Consider the following 22,849-nt stretch of genomic DNA (forward strand, 5'->3'; position numbering starts at 1 on the left):
TTTTTTGTATATTTTGGATACAAGCTCTTTATTAGATATATGTTTTACAAACACTTTCTTCTAGTATGTGGCTTGTCTTTTCATTCTCTTAACAGTATCTTTCACAGAAAAGAAGTTTTAGTTTTAATCACCAATGCAAGGTTACTTAGTTTTTCTCATATGTTATTTTCTAGAAGTTTTATAGTTTTATGGTTTAGGTTCTGTGGTTTTGTAGTTAGGCCTATGATCAATTTTGAGTTAATTTTTATGAAGAGTGCAAGGCCTTTGTCTAGATTTGTTTTTTGTTTTTTCTTTTTGCATGTGAATGCCCAATTATTTTAGCAATATTTGTTGAAAAACTATCCTCTTTTCATTGAATTGCCTTTGCTCGTTTGTCAAAGATCAGTTAACTGTATTTATGTGGGTCTATTTCTGGGCTTTCCATTGTGTCCTATTGATCTATTAATCTACTCATTTGCCAAAACCACACTGTCTTAATTAATGTAGCTTTATAATCAATTTTGGCTATGTCAGTCCTCCAACTTTGATTTTCTTCCTCAATACTGAGTTGGCTATTCTGGGTCTTTTGCCTCTCCATATAAACTTCAGAATTAGTTTGTCAATATTTTCAAAATAACTTTCTGAGATTACGATTGAGATTGCATTGAATCTGTAGAACATATGGGAAATAAATTATATCTTAACAACGTTGAGTCTTACTATCCAGGAACATGGACTATCACTCCATTTATTTAGATATTTTTTATTTGTTTAATCAGAATTTTATTGCCTTCCTCATATAGATCTTGTACATATTTTGTTAGATTTACATACGCCTAAGTATTTCCTTTTTTGGTGCTAATGTAAATGGTGATGTGTTTTAAATTTCAAGTTCCAATTGCTCATTGCTAGTATATAGAAAAGCAACTAATTTTTGTATATTAGCCTTGTATCCTGTACTCTTGATGTAATTACTTATTAGTTCTAAGAGCTTTTATTTGTTCTTTGGAATTTTCTGCATATTCTTAGTTAAATTTGTATTTCAGATAAACAACAAAGTTTTCTTTTCTTAGTATAGCATGTCCCAAATAGTGCATCATACATACTTATATTTTTAAAAAATGTTGCTTCTCTGAAATTCAAAATTAACTGGGTGCCTTGATTTTTATTCATTAAATATGGCAACTTGATTTATCATCTCACCAAGCCCATTTCTGCTTCAAATAGTTTCATCAATTAGTACCTCTTCTGGGAACATTCTTTTTCCTATTTTGCATGGTTGGCTGCTTCTTGTTGTTCAAAATTAAATTTAAATGTTATCTCCTCAGACGAGCTTCCCTAACCCAATCCAAAGTGGCCTCCCCGTCCTTCTCTCTTACATCTGCCTATGTTAATGCTTTGCAATGGCAGTCATTCCTTAACAATTTATTGACCAATTGATCAATTGTTTCATGATCTGCCCCCTCCTCTCACCAGCCCATCTCACTAACATGAGTTTTCTTGCTTGGCATTCTCCTCTCAACACTTAGAATACCTGGCTCATAGTAGGTACTGAACAAACACTTGTCGAATTGATGATGGAATGAACTTAAGCCACCAAGCTTAGTAATCCTTTAATCCTTCCTCTTTTCCTTAATGTTTGTATCTAATTAATCACAAGTCGTGTCCCCAAATCCCACCAAATATATCTTAAACCCATCCTCTTCTCAGGTTTCCAGTGTCAGTCCTTGGACCATGGAGGAACTAGGATGCCTTCTAGCATCCTGAAGATAGTGCTGACTCATACTCCCACCCAGTAGATTCTCACTGAGTGTCTGTCTTTTCCATTTCTCTAAGCTCCACCAAGCAGGGATGGTGTCTGAATGCTGCAGTATCCTCTCTGTCCTGCACAGAGACTGATGCATAGTCAATATTCACTAGGTGTTAGCTGTGATTATTTTACAGTAGTTACAATAAACATTTATTAGAAACCCATTTGATTTCACTGAAAGATGCATACTGATTAGAAAGAAATGTAATCTTACCAATGACAAAGCACTACAGATATTCCTGAAATTCTCTGTTTCCTAGCAAACTCAGTTACCTAAAATGAGCAGTTCTCAAGTGTTTTGGTTTCAGTACCCCTTAACACTCTTAAAAATTATTGAGGGTGCCAAAGAGCTTGTTTATGTAGATTATAACTACCAATATTTACTGTGTTAGAAATTAAAACCGGGCCAGGCATAGTGGCTCATGCCTGTAATTCCAGCACTTTGGGAGGCCGAGGTGGGCAAATCACCTGAGGTCAAGAGTTTGAGACCAGCCTGGCCAACATGGTGAAACCTCATCTCTACTAAAATTACGAAAATTAGCCAGACGTGGTAGCGGATGCCTGTAATCTCAGCTACTCGGAAGGCATAGGCAGGAGAATTGTTTGAACCTGGGAGGTGGAGGTTGCAGTGAGCCGAGACCATGCCATTGCATTCCAGCCTGGACGACAAGAGCAAAACTCCATCTCAAAAAAAAAAAAAAGAAATTAAAACTGAAAAAATTTTACAATATTAGCTTATTTAAAAGCTGCAATAATGAACCCATTATATGTTAACATAGGCAACATATTTCATAAAGAATAACTGTATTTTACAAAACAAAAAATGTACTGAGAAGATAGGCATTGTTTTTCATATTAGCGAATTTCTTTAGTGTCTGGCTTAATAGAAACATAGTTGAATTCTGATATCAGCTTCTGCACGCATTCTGTTATGTACAACACACTGTTTTCGCTAAGGTGTGTTTTTTAAAAACTGAGCCTCACACTCATATGAATAGCCTTTTCAGATAATTGGGAATATTCTTTTTTAATTTTATACCAAAGCTGAACAAGTGGTACTTTTGTAAAGCAACTTGTAAAATCTGAAACCATATCAATAAACTTTCTAAATCTCTTTACAACAAACCCTTCAGTACATTTTCTACCTTGAATGGCTGTTTTATCCATTCGTGATTTTGTTTCATCATTTGCCATTTGGAAAATATTTGTTTGCTACATTACAAAAACATTCTAAATGTTGACACATTTCATTACATAACATTGAAAAATCTTATTAGTCAACATCACTGGTGATCTCATCAGAAAAGTTTCATGTATGGAAACTATCAAACGCATGGTGGCAGATATTAGTTTCCTAAAATGCTAATTTTTACTTGAAACCTCAAATATTATTATTTGCAACAAATATTGCCCATTGTTGTGCTCTAAGTGATCTGCTTGACTCACTTTGCTCATTTTTGAGAAACTATCTGTGAAATATCCAAGTCTAAATAACCATAATTTGTGAGTCATTTGTTTCAAGTAAAAATAGTGTTCCATTTTAAGAAGTGGCATGTTTACCTTGCAACCTGAATAATCATACAAGTACTTCTCCCTGAGAATCAATCAAGTGCATTTTTGGTTGGCAACAGAACTTTATGTGTATTTTCCCCTTTGTCCCACAGAATAGTAAAGATATGTGTGCTCAAGGGGTTGATTTAATAAAATTAATAATTATTATTGCTTTATTAAGTAAATTTTATTTTTTGAGATGGAGTTTCACTCTCGTTGCCCAGGCTGGAGTGTAATGGTGCAATCTCTGCCTCCTGGGTTCAAGTGATTCTCCTGCTCAGCTTCCTAAGTAGCTGGGATTACAGGCATGTGACACCATGCCTGGCTAATTTATTTTTTGCATTTAGTAGAGACAGGGTTTCACCATGTTGGCCAGACTGGTCTTGAACTTTTGATCTCAGGTGACTCACCCACTTCGGCCTCCCAAAGCACTGGGATTACAGGCATGAGCCACCAGGCCTGGCCAAGTACGTTCTTAAGTAAAATTAGCATTTCCTTCATTAAAAGTGCATGGTAGCGAGGAATACTATGACAACTAATACAGTTTGGTGCCATGTCATTGTTCAATGTGCCAGCAGTTTGACACCATTATTGCTTTTGCACCATTAGTGCCATGACAAACACAGCAAAAAAGGGCAAATAATGTCTTAGTATTATTACGAAGATAGTTCTGATCTTATGGATCCTCTGAGAGGATCTTGGAGATTCCACAGAAGTCTACAAACCGTGTTTTGAGAATGACTGAACTGAAGGTCTATACACTGATAGACTTTTGATTTACATTCAATTCCTTCAGAGGCTCTAGGCAAGTCCATCACACTTTGGAAGTAAGAGGTGAGCTTTGTACATTCTTTTTTTCATGGCCAAAAACTCTAGCCTAGTGCTTAACACACTGTTTAAACTCTCCCATAGTATTCAAAACAAGAAAGATTTGATGGTCCATTATGAGTCACTGATCAAATTTGGCAATAGGATTGAGTTCCAGATCCTACACATTGAAAGGGATTGTAACAAACCAGAAACCCTGATGCACAAGAAATGAGGAAAGATACAGAAAGACTTTGTCCCCGAGAAGAGAAAATGAATGAAAATGCATAACTATTTTCAACTAATATATGAGTTGTCATATGTAAGAGACAATGAACTCAGCCTTTGTGGCTTCAGAGGGCAAGATATCATAATGACTAATAAGGAGGTACATTCTTACTCAACCAAATAACTTCCTAATAAGTAGGGTTACTAAAGAAGAACAAGCTAGTTCATGAGGTCACTGGTTCCTGTCATTACAAGGCTATAAACTGAACTCAAGTGACTGCCAAACACCAAACAGGACATCCTTGGATAGGGACCAAGTCCTGTACTCCAAGCGTAACCTTGGGAGTGGTGAGTGAGCTTCCAGGAAGCAGTTATCAACAAGGCTGGCCACTCACACTCTGAGGTCACTCTCTCAAGGTGAAATCAATGCCTAACTAAAGGCATTTATGCAATTATTGGAATAATTCATGTACCACACAGCAGACATATTGGATGAAAGTCCTGCCATAATCCAGTATGACCTCATCTTAACTAATTGCATCTGCAACCACACTATCTCCAATAAGGCCACATACTAGGGGCTAGGACTTGAAAACATCTTTTGTGGGGGACACAATTCAACCCGTAACAATTACTAGTGAAGAATAGGTTCTAGTGAGATTCCTTATTATATTTTAATTAATGAAATCTGTTTCTCTTTTATTTAAATTACAGAAAAACCTAGGCAACATTGCCTATATTCCCTTTCCCTCTTATCAATCCCCATTCAATATGATTTTTAGAGTATGGATGTAATCATTGCATAGTAATTGGATTCCTAATACTACCTGATGGCAAAATGCTTCCAATGTGGACACTAGAATTGAGGTAGTGTGTAGGCTTTGTGACCAGATGCATCTATGTTCAAATTCTAGATCAAAATTTGGGTTGGGAGGCTTAGATTGGAGAAGACTTGGATTTATGAAATTCGAGTAAGCCTTTCATTCTCTCTGAGATCACTACAATATTAGAAAGAGAAGATGATAAGACTGACTATGTCACTGGGTCATTATGAAGTCAAGCGAGAGAACGGACTTGAGGCTCAAGTTTTACGAACTCAAAAACAGGTTCCAACTTAGACTGAAGCCCACAGATGTATTTAGTTTTTGTGTCTATTCTTGGCCCACACAGAGCTTTAACATGTTGTACTTGCTTGTTAACCTTTTCAAAAGGGAGATTTTGTAGGAAAAACTGCATTTCCAGCTTCTCTTGGTAGGCCTGTACTGACATTCCTGGAAGCACAACCAGCAGGACTATGAGCTGCGATGGGGACCAAGAGACAGCTGCCACTGATCATTGGACCTGCTTCTCCATTTTATTACACTGGAATTTTTCTTGTGATGGGACAAAGAGAAGAGTGAAACATTTCTTAGGTTCAGGATTCTATCAAAAGTTAGAAAACGAAAGCTATACTGAGAGAATCACATGGCTCAGGATAAAAAAGAGGAAGCGTATTTCTTTAAGGAAGCTAAGAATATTCTTACATTTAGTATTCAAGTAAAGTCTATCTGTGTTCAAAGCATATGTCCTAGGGTGCCTTTATAGAACAAACTCAGCCTGAATAATTGTGATTCTTACTCTAATATGTTATACAACGTTAGCAAGTATTATGTCAGCATCTACTTAGCTGTTATTTATTTCTCTTCCTCTCTTCTATTTAGCAGTATATGAATTGCTTTTATGTTCATTAAATTTCTCTGTGATGTTAAAGCACTCTATCCTATAATTTTGCAGTATTATCTAATAAGTTCCAAGTATCTCCAATCTAAGTATGAATTGCTTATTTTTATCTCCCCATATTTCCAGGCTTAGATTTAAATCCATATTAAAATGCTTAACACTTGTAGTGATTTTTAAAGTTTCGTAAGTGGAACCTCATCAATGAGCCCAAGGCAACATTTCTAAAACATCAAACGCCCTGACAGAAACCGAAAGATGTCGTCGCTCTCAAGACGCATGGTGTCACATAAACACACAAAAGATGTGCCGGGTGCTTCATTTTCATCCAGATGTCTTGGCATCATGCAGACAGAACCTTTAAGGAACTGAATGATAGGTCATAACTAGCATGTCCACCATCTGCTGCGGGACACCACTTGTGCGAGATTTTAAAATGGACTCACAGCATAAGATCAATTATAATGTCTGGAAGCCAGCCAGTTTGCCTTTCCTCCTGGAAGACACCACCATTGGCTTTTATAGCTTCCTCTGAGGTCAAAAACATTCTAACTTCATTTAGTGGCATCCATACGTGCCCAAACACCCAGGCTAGAAACTCAGATTTACTTTTGGGTCAATGTTCTCCTTCACCTTCCTCATTAATTTAGCTACTAAGCTGCATCAATGCTGCTCTACAATGTCTGTGGAATTCGTGTCATTTTCTCCATCCTCACAGTGTAAATAATTTTGTTTTTTTTTTTTGAGACGGAGTCTTGCTCTGTCACCCAGGCTGGAGTGCAGTGGCACGATCTCGGCTCACTGCAAGCTCCACATCCCGGGTTCACGCCATTCTCCTGCCTCAGCCTCCCGAGTAGCTGGGACTATAGGCACCTGCCACCATGCCTGGCTAATGTTTTGTATTTTCAGTAGAGACAGGATTTCACCATGTTAGCCAGGATGGTCTCGATCTCCTGACCTTATGATCCGCCCGCCTCGGCCTCCCAAAGTGCTGGGATTAGAGGTGTGAACCACCTCGCCCGGCCACAAATAATTTTTTTAACTTTTCAGTTTTCTGCCTCCCCCCACCTCATGCTGTATTTATGATGTGTGTATATTTTTATATTATATGTATGTGTGTATATTATATCTATATTTTCCCCACAGTTTTCTATTGTCTGATAAGGTCCAAAGTTCTTACCAAGACACCTTCTGGAGCTGGGCCCTTGTGTAGCGCTTTAACCTCAACTTCTATCATTTCAGACCCCATTCAGACCTCTCTCATTCATTCACAAATTTCACAAATATTTCTTGAACACCTACAATATTCCAAGTGCTATTCTAGGTTCTGCTGATGCAGCAGTGAACAAAACAGACAAAAATCCCTCCGTTTCCAGAGTTTATATTCCAGGGATGGGTTATATGTGACAGATAATAAACAAAATAAACACATAGAATATAGAATGTATTTGATAGCGATATGTGATATGACAAAAATAAAAGAGAAGAGGATAGGGTGTAAGGGGGAGACTGCCATTTTACAGAGGAGGGTGAGGGACACATTCCAGGAAGGATCATCGCCTAGAGACTGTAGGTGCTGGAACAAGTCGGTTGGGGAGGCTGGAGGAAAAGCTAGGCCAGTGTGGATGCAGAGGTAGGCAAGAGAGAGGAGTAGAGGGAGGAAGGTGAATTAGGGAGGGGGAGTGCCAGGTCAGGCAGGGCCTTGTTGGCCATAGTGAGGACCGGTTTTTACAAAGAGTAGAATGAGGGCCACCGGAGGGGTGGTTTGAGTTAGAGAATTGCATGATCTGTCTTGCAGTATAAATGGCTCACTCTATCTGCTATGCAAACAGATCACACTATCTGCTATGTCAAGGACAGATTGAAGTGGGGCAACCCTACAAGAGATGAGAGGGACTTGGACCATGGTGGAAGCTTCTGAGCTGGTGAGATATGCTGGGTTCTGGATCTAATCAGTGGAGCCAAAAGGATTTGCTGATACCTTGACACCTTGGCTGTCGCTATAGACAAGTGTCAATAGTGCCTCCCAAGCATTCGGTCTGAAGGATGCACTTGCCATGAACTGAGAATAGGAAGGCCATGGGAGGCACCTATAGGGGTGGGGCATGGAGGAATAAGAAGCTCAATTTGGTATACATTGACTGTGAGTTACTTATTAGATATCCACCTGGAGATGTTAAATAGGCAGTTTGAGATATGTATCCTCCCCACCTAGGATTTGCAGCATTCTTGCTAAATACCTCATTCTTTCATGTCTCTATGCCAGTTTATACAATCTCCTTTTAGGGCCTCTTCCTCTTCTTTGCTTGCTGAAATACATTTTCTCGTTGGCCTCTACCACTTATTGAAGTGCATTTGCAATGATATTTTGTGTGTGTGTGTGTGCATTTGCGTTTTGAAATAAGGTCTCACTCTGTCTCCCAGGCTGGAGTGCAGTGCACAATCATAGCTCCCTACAGCCTCAAACTACTAGGCTCAAGCAATCCTTCTGCCTCAGCCTCCTCAGTAGCTGAGACTACAGGCACGTGGCACCATGCCCTGCTAACTTTTTACATTTTTTGTGAAGGAGTCTATGTTGCCCAGGCTGGTCTCAAACTCTTGTCCTCAAGTGATCCTCTTGCCTTGACCTGCCAAAGTGTTGGGATTACACGCATGAGCCACCGTGCTTGGCCTGTAATGGTTATTTTAACTTATTTATTCTGTTACCATACTGTTCTGTGAGTAATTCTCAACAAGATGCCTGATACAAATAAATAATCAAGAAAAGCTCATTGAATAGTTGAAACCTATGGGGGGGCCATAATCTCCTGCATTCAGTGGTTAGATTTCTTGAAATACGTTGTTATTTCTCCTCTTCCATAAAAAGAACTCTTTCGCGCATATTGTTTTAATCAATGAGAATTAAATTCTATTTTTGTTGATGTGCTTTTTTTATATTCCCTTGGGCATGCAATTTATCAAGCATGAGTAATATCTGGCACACAGAGTCTCTAATAGCTTCCTTTTTATTATTAGATCAATGATTGTCTGAATTACTGAGAAAGGAAATATCTAGGAAGAAAATGCCCCTAAATTCCTTGAAATCATGCTAAAAAGAAAATATGGAAGTACAGAAACATTAACAATGAAGTTGCTTTGGGGCACTTGAATCCTTATTTACGGAAACTTGGAACAAGTTTAAAAGTGTATTTTCAGCAGTCAGTGACTTAGTAATGATAATTTGGTTTCTGAATATTAAATGCATTTATTGTGTCTTTAATGTTTGACATATGTTAAAAGATGCATTTAGAAGAAAACTAATTTTAACCAACTAATTCTTTCTTCTACCACTCTATTTCTACCAGCCCACCAGTCCCTCTCCTGAGCCTAATCCAGTTATAGCTATTTTTCCATTTTCCAGAGACTGTCTAAGCCTTAATATAGACTTATATTTATGTCTATCTTATTTTTACATAAATGGGATTCTACTACGTATTTTTCTTTTTCTTTTTTTTTTTGATGGCACAAAACCAACATTGTCTGAGTTTTATTATTTGATCATCAGAAATTCTGTTGACAGCACAGGTCAGAAAACTGATTAGTTCACTTAAAATATCTTAAGATGCTTAAAAATAATAGTATTTTATAATAGCATGCATGCTCATATATATATATCAATGTACCTTTTTCTTGTCAACAGCTTCAAAATATCCCATCGTACAGGCATACCATAATCTAATTAAACAATATCCTACAGTTAGGCACTTATTGTTGGACATTTATTGTTGTAACCAAAATGTTTCCATGGGCCAGGCATGGTGGCTTATGCCTATAATCCCAGCACTTTGTGAGGGATTCTAAAAAAAATGAAAAAAATTAGCAGGCATAGTGGTGTATACCTGTAGTCCCAGCTACTTGAGAGGCTGAGGTGGGAGGACTGCTTGACCCCAGAAGATGAGGCTTCAGTGAGCTATGATCATGCCATTGTACTCCAGCCTGGGTGACATAGTGAGACTCTGTCTAAAAAAAAAAAAAAAAAAAAAAAACCACATATGCAGTTTGAACAATTTTGTGCATATACGCACTTTGTAATCATATACATACACACACACACACACAGATATGTACTTAGTGCTAAAATAGCTAGACTTAGATAGGCTCACGCTCTGTTGCCCATGCTGAGTACAGTGGTGAGATCTCGGCTCACTGCAACCCCTGCCTCCTGGGTTCAAGCGATTCTCCTGCCTCAGTCTCCCAAGTAACTGGGATTACAGGCTCGAGCCACCATACTTGGCTATTTTTTTTTCTTCTTGTATTTTTAGTAGAGACAGGGTTTCACCATGCTGACCATGCTGGTCTCAAACTCCTGACCTCAAGTGATCCACCTGCCTCAGCCTCTCAAAGTGCTGGGATTGCAAGCATGAGCCACCCCCGGCCCGGCCAATTCAGACTTTTTAAAAATACCTTTGCTATTATAATTTCCTACATACAACTGACAACTCTGAGAAACCCAGTAAAATACACTGGAGTCCACAAACACATGCTGCATACAGTCTAATCGGGACCCAGATTTCTATTATCAAAGCCTCATTAATGAAGCCATCCACACTCATTGTCGAGATATTGCTGCCTGGCCAAAAAGCAAGTAGTAGATGTTGACCTTGCAAAGGTTAACTTAATAGAGTTGAATTTGATTTAAATCCAATCACCGTTTCCACAGCTGCTCTGTGGGCCCAGATGGAGACTGTGGGAGTGATGTCACAGTGTCGCATGGCATGGCTTGATGCTCTGGCATGACTCACACCCATGCTCTGAAAGACTCCATTGTCGTTTTGCTCCTGGGTGGAGTGGGATTTGACTCACACACTGACTCAGTCCCCTAGCGCACCCCGTATCTGCTGTTGGAACTTTTCATTCGGGTCATTAGCTCCATCACAACCTCCTCCCTGGCAAGTAGGTAAAGGTACAGAGACCCCTCATCCACAATGGTCTTTTGCTGTGAGAGCCCCACTGCAAAATCCAGCTAATTCTTGGGGTCCCGTATCCTTTCCTCCTCTCTTCCCCAGCCTCCAATCCCATCAAAATTTAGCCATGTTTTTTACTCAGCTCCCTAATGATACTTTAAATGCAAAGGGGTCATGTAAGAATAAATCATCAAGCATGGTATGGGCAGTATTATGAGTAAACATTTCTGTTAAATTGACGTTCTTAGTTATGGATACGTAATTTATTTGTAAATAAATTATGCCAGAGTGGGCACAGTTTAAGCTCTAATCCCTACTCACTAGGGAGATGAGAGTTTTACAACTTGGGAAACAGTTTTCAGATTTTGGTTGGGTTCTTCATCATCAGTTAAAGCTTTGTGTTTTTCTTTTTGCTTAGAGTCATTTCTTTTCTTTTCTTTTCTTTTTTTTTTTTTTTTTGAGATGGAGTCTCACTCTGTCACTGAGGCTGGAGTGCAGTGGCACTGTGTCGGCTCACTGCAACCTCTGTCTCCTGGGTTCAAGCAATTCTCCTGCCTCAGCCTCCCAAGTAGCTGGGATTACAGGTGCCCACCACCACGCACAGCTAATTTTTATATTTTTAGTAGAGACGGGGTTTCACCATGTTGGCCAGGCTGGTCTTGAACTCCTGACCTCAGATGATCCACCCGCCTCGGCCTCCCAAAGTGCTGGGATTACAGGTGTGAGACACCATACCCGGCCTTTGCTTACAGAGTCATTTCTTTACATGTTTTGGTTGACACGGTTATGCCTGTTATAAAACAAATTCCTTGCTGCCAATTCTTGGTCTTTTAATGTATTCCTTTGCTTTCTCCTTCCTTTCAAGAGATGCTCCTGCTTCTCCCCAAACACTGCCTTTTATTCCCTATTTCCTGGGTGGTGCCAGCATCTGCCTTAAATCAATGTCCATTTTATGTTTGTTCAGATCTTTCTCTCTCACTAGAGATTTTTCTGCAATTGGCCCTTTTCATGGTGGGAGGGGTGATTTCTCTGCCCTGCAGGAAACTCATTAGTGAGTCAGGAAAGTCTGGCTCTCAGGCACAGTCATAAGGATGAAAGTGCTCCCTGACAACACACACACACGCACACACACACAAACGCACACACACACACAAATAAGTCTCTGTGCTAATTGCCACTTCTGCATTTTAAAAATGACTGGAGCCTGGCTGAAAGGTCCCCTCAGGGCTGGGAGTGGTGGTTCATGCCTGTAATCCCAGCACTTTAGGAGTCTGAGGCAGGTGGATCACCTGAGATCAGGAGTTCAAGACCAGCCTGGCCAAAATGGTGAAACCCAGTCTCTACTAAAAATGCAAAAATTAGCTGGGCGTGGTGGTGCACACCTGTAATCCCAGCTACTTGGGAATCTGAGGCAGGAGAATTGCTTGAACCTGGGAGGCAGAGGCTGCAGTGAGCTGAGATTGTGCCACTGCATTCCAGCCTGGGTGACAGAGCAAGGCTCTGTTTAAAAAAAAAAAAAAAAAGGTCCCCTCAGCATCTTCCCTCTTTATTCCTTTTAAATCCTGTATCGCACACTGGAGTTGTCCTAAGCTGAGGTTTGGGAAGTTGGCAAGTGGAAAGGATGGAGCAGTTGTGCTCCCAGTAGAAGAGGCGAGGCAGGAGGAAGGCATGTGAATCTCATCATCCGGGTAGAATGTTGTTATAAGGCCGTGATCCTTTTCCTTGGAGTGATGCTTATTTATTTTGAGCCATGGTTTTTGGTTTTAGCTGCCTTTCCTAAATTCTTCACAAATTGGCCAGTTAGAAGCACAATGGGCCATTCACAGGAACCATGTTTTATTCCATCCTTACCCTTTCATTCTATGCTTTACAGGTACAACTGGTCAGGGAGAACCAATGGCAGACATGTGCTATATCCCAACACACCTTGACTCTTGCTCTCACCGGAAGCTCAGCTTAGGGAAAGGAGATCTTAATAGGAGACAGAAGACCCGGACGCTGGTTTTGATTGTGCCCTTCTCCAGCTGTGTGGCCTTGAGCAGGTGACTTCACCAGTCTTGTCCTCCTATTTGTGAACAAATAGCCCCAACTGTCTGAAGGCGGAAGCCTGGTTCACGCCTCTCAAGGTCCTTTCTCACTATGATATCTATGAACCAAGTAGTTATTAGGTTGGTAACAGAAGTAATTGTGGTCTTTGCCATAAAAAGTAAATTTACTTTTTAATAGATTTTGGTTGGGCTCTTCATCATCTGTAAAAGCTTTGTGTTTTTCCTTTTGCTTTGAGTCATTTCTTTTTTTTTTTCTTTTTTTTTTTTTAAGATGGAGTCTCACTCTGTCACCGAGGCCGGAGTGCAGTGGCAGTAAATTTACTTTTAGTGACAAAGACTGCAATTACTTTTGTTACCAACCTAAATAGTTAATGTATTACTGCCCTCATTGTAGCAAGAAAGAAAAAAAAAGAAGTTCAAATAAGTGATTTCTCAAGTCTCATGAAGTAAAGAAGATACATTAATGGAAAATTTGCTATAAGTCAAATGATATAAGTCAGACCAGATGACCCCCACCACTGTCCCCCAAGCCAGGAGATTTGTTGAGTACATTACTTTTACTTAGAAACAATGGCATAATATAAGGGAAATGAGATCATGTAAAATGTGCTCAGCATAGTGCCTAGGACACAGTAAGATGGCAGTCCCTAACCTTGGGGTCACAGACTAGTACTATTCTGTAGCCTGTTAGGAACTGGGCCGCACAGCAGGGGGTAAGCAGCGGTAGCGAAGTGAGTAAAGCTTCACCTGTATTTATGGCCATACCCCATTGCTTACATTAGCGCCTGAGCTCTGCCTCCTGTCTGATCAGCAACGGCATTAGATTCTCACAGGAGCACAAACTCTATTGTGAACTGCTCATACAAGGGATCTAGGTTGCCCTCTCCTTATAAGACTCTAATGCCTGATGATCTGTCACTGTCTCCCATCACCCCCAGATGGGACTGCCTAGTTGCAGGGAAACAAACTCAGGGTTCCCACTGATTCTACACAATGGTGAGTTGTATAATTATTTCATTATGTATTACAATGTAATAATAACAGAAACAAAGTACACAGTATATGTAACGCATTTGAATCATTCTGAAACCACTCCCTCCCAACCCGCCCCAGTCCCTGGAAAAATTTTCTTCCATGAAACCAATCTTTGGTGCCAAAAAGGTTGGGGACTGTTACAGTAAGGCATGAAGAAATGAATGCCTCTAGTGAAAATATTGACAGCTTCATTGTTATCTTTTTATACAAAGCACTCCATGGCCAAGCGCGGTGGCTCACGCCTGTAATCCCAGAACTTTGGGAGGCTGAGGTGGGCAGATCACGAGGTCAGGAGATCGAGACCATCCTGGCCAACGTGGTGAAACCCTGTCTCTACTAAAAATACAAAAATTAGCTGGGCATGGTGGCATGTGCCTGTAGTCCCAGCTACCTGGGAGGCTGAAGCAGGAGAATCGCTTGAACCAGGGAGTCAGAGGTTGCAGTGAGCCGAGATCATGCCACTGCACTCCAGCCTGACGATAAGAGTGAGACTGTCTAAAAATAAAAATAAAAAAAAGCACTCCATATGCTGTATCTAATCAGGTGTCTTATCTATCTATATGGTTTCAACTCAGCAAACAGGCACATACATTTTAATTTAACATTACGTACTACATCTCCATGAATGATGCCTCATTTTAATTCCACATAATTGTGGTCTAATTTGACTATAATAGATAAAAATTGGAATAATATGCTTACTTGGAGACAGGATGGTCTAATTATAAGAGTACAGGCTTTGGGGCCACGTGAAGTTTTTCCTTGCCACAAAAATTAGAGACTACGGTTTGACACGGTGCGTCTTCAGAAACAGGGACATTTTCTGCCATCCTGAGATGCTACTTGTCACATAAAGCTTCAATTTGTAGCTAACCTAATCCAGGGTATATCTGTCTTTGGAATGCAAAATCAAGTCTTATTCACAGTGAACTTTCGCCTTTGTTCCTTCGTCAGTTGGTTGCTTTTCAATGTAGAAAAAAAATGTTAAAGATTTGGCTTGAGAGGTACCCAAACTCAAAGACACAGAGCTCCAAATTTGATCCTAAACCGTCAAAAGCAAGCTTCTTTACATTTGGCTGTCTCTCTCAGTGCTTGCAAAATGACCTGCCATCTTTAGGCTCACCCAGGTGAATATTTATGCCAAGAGAAGTCTGACCTTTTAATACACTGGAGCTCCCATTGTATGAGCAAGTGGGCTCTGGAAATGTTTGCTGTCCGAAGTATGGATCCCAGGGGCTGAACTGAGTCCCAGATGCCTGTGTGAGTGAAGACCTGCAGTGCCCCTACTCAGCCTTCACAAGAAGCATGTCTCTCTGTTCTGTCTTGTTATGGAGTTTCACTTCATTCACCTGAGACCTTAACCAACTTTTCCAATATCTACTAGTCTATTCTTCCAGGGCTGGACCCTGTTTTTTAATGGTTCCTGCCTCCTCAATGTCTGCCCTCCATCACCAAACTCTGGTCCTTGAGCACACCGAGAAAAACTCCCTGAATCTGACAGTCACCTGATTCTGAAAGCCACAGCTTACTCAGTGCCCCAGAAGCCCCAAGCAGGGGATCTCTGTCTGGGCTAAACCCTTGGACTTGTGATTCCTGATCCTACCCCCACCTGACCGAGCTATGTAAACCAGGGTCAGCCACTTCTCCACACATACCTCCTTGCCTTCTGCCCTCACCCGCCCCACTCTAGGCCCACTGGCCTTCTTCCTAGCCCCACTGGGACTTTTTAAACTTCGTTCTACTTTTGGTACTTCATGTTAGTTGAGGCCTCTGCTCAATGCACTCTGTCCTCCTAACTAACATGATTTGCTACTTCTTATCACTCAGATCTCAACTTATGTCTTAGTTCACATTGCTATACCAACAATACCATAGAGAATTATAAACAAGAGAAATTTATTTCTTATGATTCTGGAGGCTGGAAGTCCAAGATCAAGGTGCTGGCAGATTTTCTGTCTGGTGAGGGTCCGCTTCCTGGTTCATAGATGGCCATCTTCTTGCTGAGTCCTCACAAGGTGAAAGGAGTAAGAGAGCTTTCTGGGGTCTCTTCTAGAAGGGCATTAGTCCCATTCATGAGGGCTCCACCCTCATGAACTATTCACCTCCCAAAGGCTCCATCTCCTAACGCCCTCCCACTGGGGGTTAGGATTTCAATATATGAATTTGTGTGTGGGAGGGTGGATGTTATAGATCATAAACATTTGATCTACAGCAGCTTGTATGTCACTTTTTCAGAAAGATATTCTTTAATGACCTCAATTGCTTTCACATCACCTTTTAAAAATCATTACACGGTGCTATGGTTTAAAGGTATTCCCTAAAGTTCATGTGTTGTAAACGTAATCCCCAATGCCACAGCGTTGGGAAGTGGGGCTGAATAAGAGATGATGAGGTCATGAAGGGAGAGTCCTCATGGATTAATGTCATTATCACAGGAGTGTGTTAGTTATCTTAAGAGTGGGCTTGTTATCAAAGCAAGTTTGGCTTCCTCTTGCTCACTTGCACTCTCATACTCTCTGATCTTTTCACCTTCTGCCATGAGATGATGCAGCAGGAAGGCCCTCACCAGATGCCCCTACCTCTAGAACTGTGAAGAATAAATTTACTTTATAAATAAATTATCATCTATTGTGTTCTGTTATAGCAATACAAAGTGGACTATGACACTTAGCATTTAACAGTAACTGACATGTAACTATTTATTTATTTTCATTATCATGTGTCTTTCTGTCTGTTTCTGGCCATTAACCTCCTCCATGCCCTAACAAGCCAATTTAAGTTCCATGAAAGCAGTAAAATCCCAGACATAAAAGATTTAGCCTCATCTGTTTCAGCCTCTGCTATATTCCAGCATGGAGGATAACTCTTGGCATACAGAAGTTGCTAAATAAATGTTTACGAAATGAGTCAGTGCTAATCCCTTCCTGGGTAGGAGGGAGGACACAAACCCTAACTCTGCTAATTTCCTGACTTTTGCCACCACGTAGTCACCTCAGTTCACTTCCTCTTCCTCACGGGGGCATTCCTAACACCTACAGGGGTGGGATACACAGCGTTAAATAAATCTTCTGCATTTTGATGCAAGAGTACTACTGTCCTTACTTTTAAAATTAAATTCAAGTATATCAATAAAATTATGAAGCTTTTCCTATATTCCCTTTAAAGAACTCCCCTCTTCAACATGTTGCTAAAATTCTCCTTTCTAACTTTTCACAGTTGGTTTATCACCAATAAAGTAAAAATCTCACCCCAAGACATTCCTGTTTCTCTCTCTTTCTCTGTCTCTATCAGCCCTGTTTTTCCTCTGCCAAGCCTGAGGATCCCCAGGAAGGGCGGTGCTGGAGCAGAGATGCAGGGGAAAGGCACTGACGGATGGGGCTGAGCCAGGGAGCAGCCATTTAGTGCTGCCCACCCGACTATAACAGGCTGTCACTGGGTGTGACAGGCAGTATGAGACATTGTAGGAAACTGAGAACTGCCCGGGGAAGGCAATGATGAATGCCAAGCTGGGGTGGCCTGAAACAGCGATAGAAATTCTGAAGCATACCTTGCGGTGATGTGGCTTTGCTGAGCACTGCTTGAAAACAGGCTGGAAAGCCAGCCTCCCAGGTTGCCATTAGGAACAGAGCTGCTCAAAATAAAGGCAGCTCTCAGGAGAGTCTTGACTCACACAGATGAGGTTGGGCACATGGCTGTTATTCCAACCACACCCACACACACGTACACGCACACACCCAGAGGTGGTAGTGACTGCCAAAGGTCAGCCCCTGATATAGAGTATGGAATATCTGTGTAAATGGTATATAGAATATAACAGTGAAACTGGAAACAAGACTTAGGACATTTCAAATGAAATCCTCTGCAATGCTATTGAAATACTATTTGTAATTCTAATTCCTAACACTTAAAAATTTTGCATTGCACAGAACATTTTCTCTGCATTATCTTGCTTGATCCTTATAACAATATCATGTAGCAGGCGGAGCAAATAATATCACACTTACAGTTGAGAAAATTGAAATTCAGAGTGGTCAAAAAAATTACCACAATGTCATACAGATTGTCAGATATTCTTGGAGGGTTCAATAGTATCTAAGAAGCCACATTTTTTTTCTCTTTTAACTTGGAGCAGCTTACATTAGCCTAAAGAAATTTTCATGAATCTATAATTTTGATTAAGTTAATAGGTAAAATTATATTCCCAGAAAAGAGAAAATTGGGATGGGAGTAGTTTTATTCACTTTACAAAAGAAATATTAATTTAGCTAAAGAATGTGATATGGCTTGTTTAAATCACAAATGAGAATATTTTAAAATAGCTCTATTGAGGTATATATACTGGTGCATTTAAACAATCAAAATTATTGTATAAATAAATAATCAAATCTAGAGCACATGAAGGCTTCCTATGAAACAATAAGGAAAAAAGCAAAATTAAAATGGGCACAATGTATTACCAGCCAAGTCACGGAAGAAGAAATCCAAAACGTCAACAAACATCTGCTTGGGAAGGAATGCTAGCACTTTCTCCATTCCTTCCTTTTCCTTGGACATGGCTGCCCAGCCAGACACATATATTTCCTATTCGTGAGACTAAGTCCTTGCCGATGAAATGTGACTGGAAGAAATGTGTGCAACTTCTGCCTTATTTGTCTGCAAGGAAATTGCTTTTCCTGAGCTTGTCTTTTTTTCCAAAAGCTGGTATGTGGCAACGACCTGACTTCAACCAGGAAGACAAGGTTGATGACCTAAGGAATAGCACTGTAGCAAATGGAAGGATCCCTGAGTGACTGTGTGGAGCAGAGCCCTCCTACCAGCCTGGACTAGCCAACATAAGATTAAGTAAGAAAAAGATCTTTTTTATTGAAATTCTTACCTAGATTACTATATCTGGAGATCTCTTTGTTACAGCTGCTTAGCCTTTACACTAACTAGTACAATGACCAATCTAACTAGTAGTCTGGGAAATCAAAGTCAAAAAAAGGTATCATTTCATACCCTAAGTTTGGCCACACTTTAAAAGCCTGGTGATATCAAGAACAAGGATATGGGAAATGAGAAACTCTCATATATTTCTGGAAGGAGTGCAAATTGGAACAACTACTTGGAGAACAATTTGTCAGTATTACTAAAGTAGAAAATAAGTATTCCCTGCAACTCATTCATTTCAATTCTAGGTCTAGTAACTTTATATACTCAGACATGCCTCAAAGGTCATTAAAACAACATTTGTATTAGCAAAAAATTAGTAACAATATGAATGTTCATTGTAAGAGGATGGATGAATAAATTGTGATATTCATACAATAGAGTACAGTCAACAGTTAAAATAGATGAACTGCATCTGCATGTATTAACATGAATAGATTTTTAAAACATATTATTGAAGGGGACAGGAAGTTGAAGAACATGAACAACATGATAGCATTAGATAAAAATTTAAAATATGCAAAGCATAACTATGTATTCTTTTGCATACATATACATGTAGGAAGAGTACAAAAACATGGTCTAAAAGAATACATACCACATTCTTGATAATGGTTGTTGCTGGGGGAGGAAGGTGAGGAAATGAATCTGTGCAGAGACACAGAGTACCTCAGCATTATTACGGTTTTATTTATTTTGTAAAAAAAAATCATGCAAAACTGCTAAATTATTAACATTTATTATTTATGGTTATTGGGTATAACCAGAAATGCCCGGATGGGCATGGTGGCTCATGCCTGTAATGCTAGCACTTTGGGAGGCTGAGGCAGTTGGATCATCTGAGGTCAGGAGCTCAAGACCAGCCTGGCCAACATGGTGAAACCCTGTTTCTACTAAAAATACAAAAAATAGCCGTGTCTCTACTAAACTCTGTCTCTACTAAAAATACAAAAAATAGTGGTGGCATGTGCCTGTAATCCCAGCTATTCGGAAGGCTGAGGCAGAAGAATTGCTTGAACCTGGGAGGCAGAGGTTGTAGTGAGCTGAGATCACGCCACTGCACTCCAGCCTGGAGCTGGATCACACCAGGCAAACTGATCATGGGTATCTCTTCCCCATCTGCCCATTTAATGGTGTCAGGGGGGTAGCTTGGAATCAGTCATGGTGGAAGCATTTACACCAAAGAAATCAGCCAATGCTACAAACCAGCAAATGCTGTGTTTTCCTCTGGAGAGTTAGGGAGTGCTAGTTACTAACACTGACTAGCACACCACTGGGTTCAATGTATTTTTTTTTTTTTGAGACAGAGTTTCGCTCTTGTTTCCCAGGATGGGGTGCAGTGGTGCGATCTCGGCTCACCACAACCTCCGCCTCCCGGGTTCAAACGATTCTCCTACCACGGCCTCCAGAGTAGGTGGGATTACAGGCATGTGCCACCACTCCCAACTAATTTTGTATTTTTAGTAGAGATGGAGTTTCTCCATGTTGGTCAGGCTGGTCTTGAACTCCCGACCTCAGGCGATCCGCTCACCTCAGCCTTCCAAAGTGCTGGGATTATAGGCATGAGCCACTGTGCCTGGCCCAATTTATCTATTAAATTAATCTTGGTACTTCTGGATGCTTTAAAATCTTTTCCAAATGTAAAAAATTAAAATTGTTTCATTTTATTTTTCAGGATATTTTTTACATAAAGCATACTGCATGGGTGTCCTACTGGTGATGGAAAAAGAAATGAAAGCATCTCTCAAAAGGGTCAAACCAAGGCCAGGTTTTATTTGGTGTTTGAGAAAACCTGGATTATTTGGGTCAGGAGAAAATTTTGGACTTCCTGCTAATCACAGGATTTCAACAGCAAGCGTCTTCAAATCATGTGTGACATCCCCTGGCTGATAAGAGCCTTCCCACCTCATCTCAAGGAAGGCAACACCTTTCATAACTACTAGAATGACTACACTTGCCTCACTAAATTGTAGTTGTTGAACCACAAACTTGATTCCTACTTCTGTAAAAATAAATCAGAATTAAAATGATTAAGATATGGAATTGAGCCTCCATGAGGTTTCAGCAGGCATCCATAACCTACAGGGTTATGACAGTCATATTTTCTGAATCCCAAATCAGGACATGGGACCATGGAAATAGAGAAGACCATCAAGCAGAACGTTTGACTTCAGTTCTGTCGTGAAGATTCTGGGTTTTCAATCCTTCTAACTACAGTACTAGATGACAAAGATGATTTATTGCACATTAAGCACTCATGAGTGCTCTATTAACCTCATTCCTTGGAATGATTGTTTTAAAACAACTTTCCATTTTTGCTATTAAAATACCTACTACTTGGGAGACTGAGGCAGGAGAATCACTTGAACCCGGGAGGTGGAGGCTGCAGTGAGCCGAGACTGCACCACTGCACTCCAGACTGGGCAACAGAGTGAGACTCTGTCTCAAAAAAAAAAAAAGTAATGCATATTAATTGAAGAAAATATAGACATGGAAAGGAAAGAAAATCATCCATCCATAATTTCACAACCCAGAGATAACAACCACTAACAGCTTAATAAATAGCATTTCAACTTTTTTGTGTGTATATTTATATATTTTCCACAAAATAATATTAAACTATGTACATTGCTTTAACTGTCTCTTTCCACTTAAGATCTATCATTAATTTATTTCCATGTCATTAAATTTTCTTCAAATGTATTATTTTATAGCTTCATGCTGTTACATTACATAACTGTAACTAAATTTATTTCACCCATATTCCCACTGGTAAATATCTAGAGTATCTGCAATTCATCCACATAAATAGGATGAAGTGATCATCACTCTAGTAACTCTTTGCATACATCTCCGTTCCTTTCTTTGGGATAAATTCTAATAAGTGTAATTCCTGAGTCAAAATTTATAAAAAATCTTTAAACTTTTTTCTATCTTTATGGAAATAAGTTATTCCTGTAGAAAGCTTTATACCATACACAAAAGTATGTTTGGAGTAAAGATTCAAAGTTAAAAGCAAAAACTAGAACTTTAGAATAAAACTTACGAAAATATTTTTACAACATTGGTTAGGGCAGAGAGAAAATACAATAAAAAAGGTAACAAGAGATATAACTTGAGTATATTAAAATATACAATTTTGTGTAACAAAGGACTATAAAAGGCAAAACAAAGACTGGGAGGATATATCTACAATGATATCTGTATCTATATTTACCCCTATATAACACAAAAAGGTTAGGATTTCGAATATAAGATCTCATAAATCAGTAAGAAAACAGGCCAGACACAGTGGCTCCTGCCTGTAATGGTAGCATTTTGGGAGGCTGAGGCAAGAAGACTGTTTAAGGCCAGGAGTTTGAGACCAATCTGGGCAACACAGTGAGACTCCATCTCTACCAAAAAAGAAAAAAAAAATGAAATTAGCTAGGCATGGTGGCACATGCCTGTAGTCCCAGCTACTCAGGAAGGCAAGGTGGGATGATTGCTTGAGCCCAGGAGTTCGAGGCTGCAGTGAGCTATGATTGCACCACTGTATGCCAGGGTGACAGAGCAAGATCCTGTCTGAATATTAAAAAATATATATATATGTATGTATATTTAAATATGTGTTTGTTTATATATATATATACATTTTACGTATATATAAATGTGTGTCTGTATATACACATATTTCTTAAATATAAGAAAAAGATAGGCAATACAATAGAAATTGGCAGAGAATATGAAAGGCAATTCACAGAAAAGGAAACCTGAATGGCCAATAATATCATGCTCAAATTGACTAGTAATAAGTGAACTAT

General features: G+C 39.7%; 1 long non-coding RNA gene across 3 annotated transcripts in view; it reads left to right on the forward strand.

Annotated features, from left to right (window-relative positions):
- Window positions 1-21,623, forward strand: part of LOC105379301 (uncharacterized) — a 53,655-nt gene extending 32,032 nt beyond the window's left edge. Inside the window, exons 3-5 of one of the 3 annotated variants that reach the window (NR_188132.1) lie at window positions 12,908-13,076; window positions 18,816-18,959; window positions 20,722-21,623. This is a non-coding gene — a long non-coding RNA (uncharacterized LOC105379301). The remainder of the gene's footprint in view (window positions 1-12,907; window positions 13,077-18,815; window positions 18,960-20,721) is intronic. The other 2 variants (NR_188134.1, NR_188133.1) reach the window with 2 other exon arrangements.
- Window positions 21,624-22,849: the final 1,226 nt, after the last annotated feature.

Source organism: Homo sapiens, chromosome 8 (assembly GCF_000001405.40).
Source record: "Homo sapiens chromosome 8, GRCh38.p14 Primary Assembly".
Taxonomy (NCBI): Eukaryota; Metazoa; Chordata; class Mammalia; order Primates; family Hominidae; genus Homo; species Homo sapiens.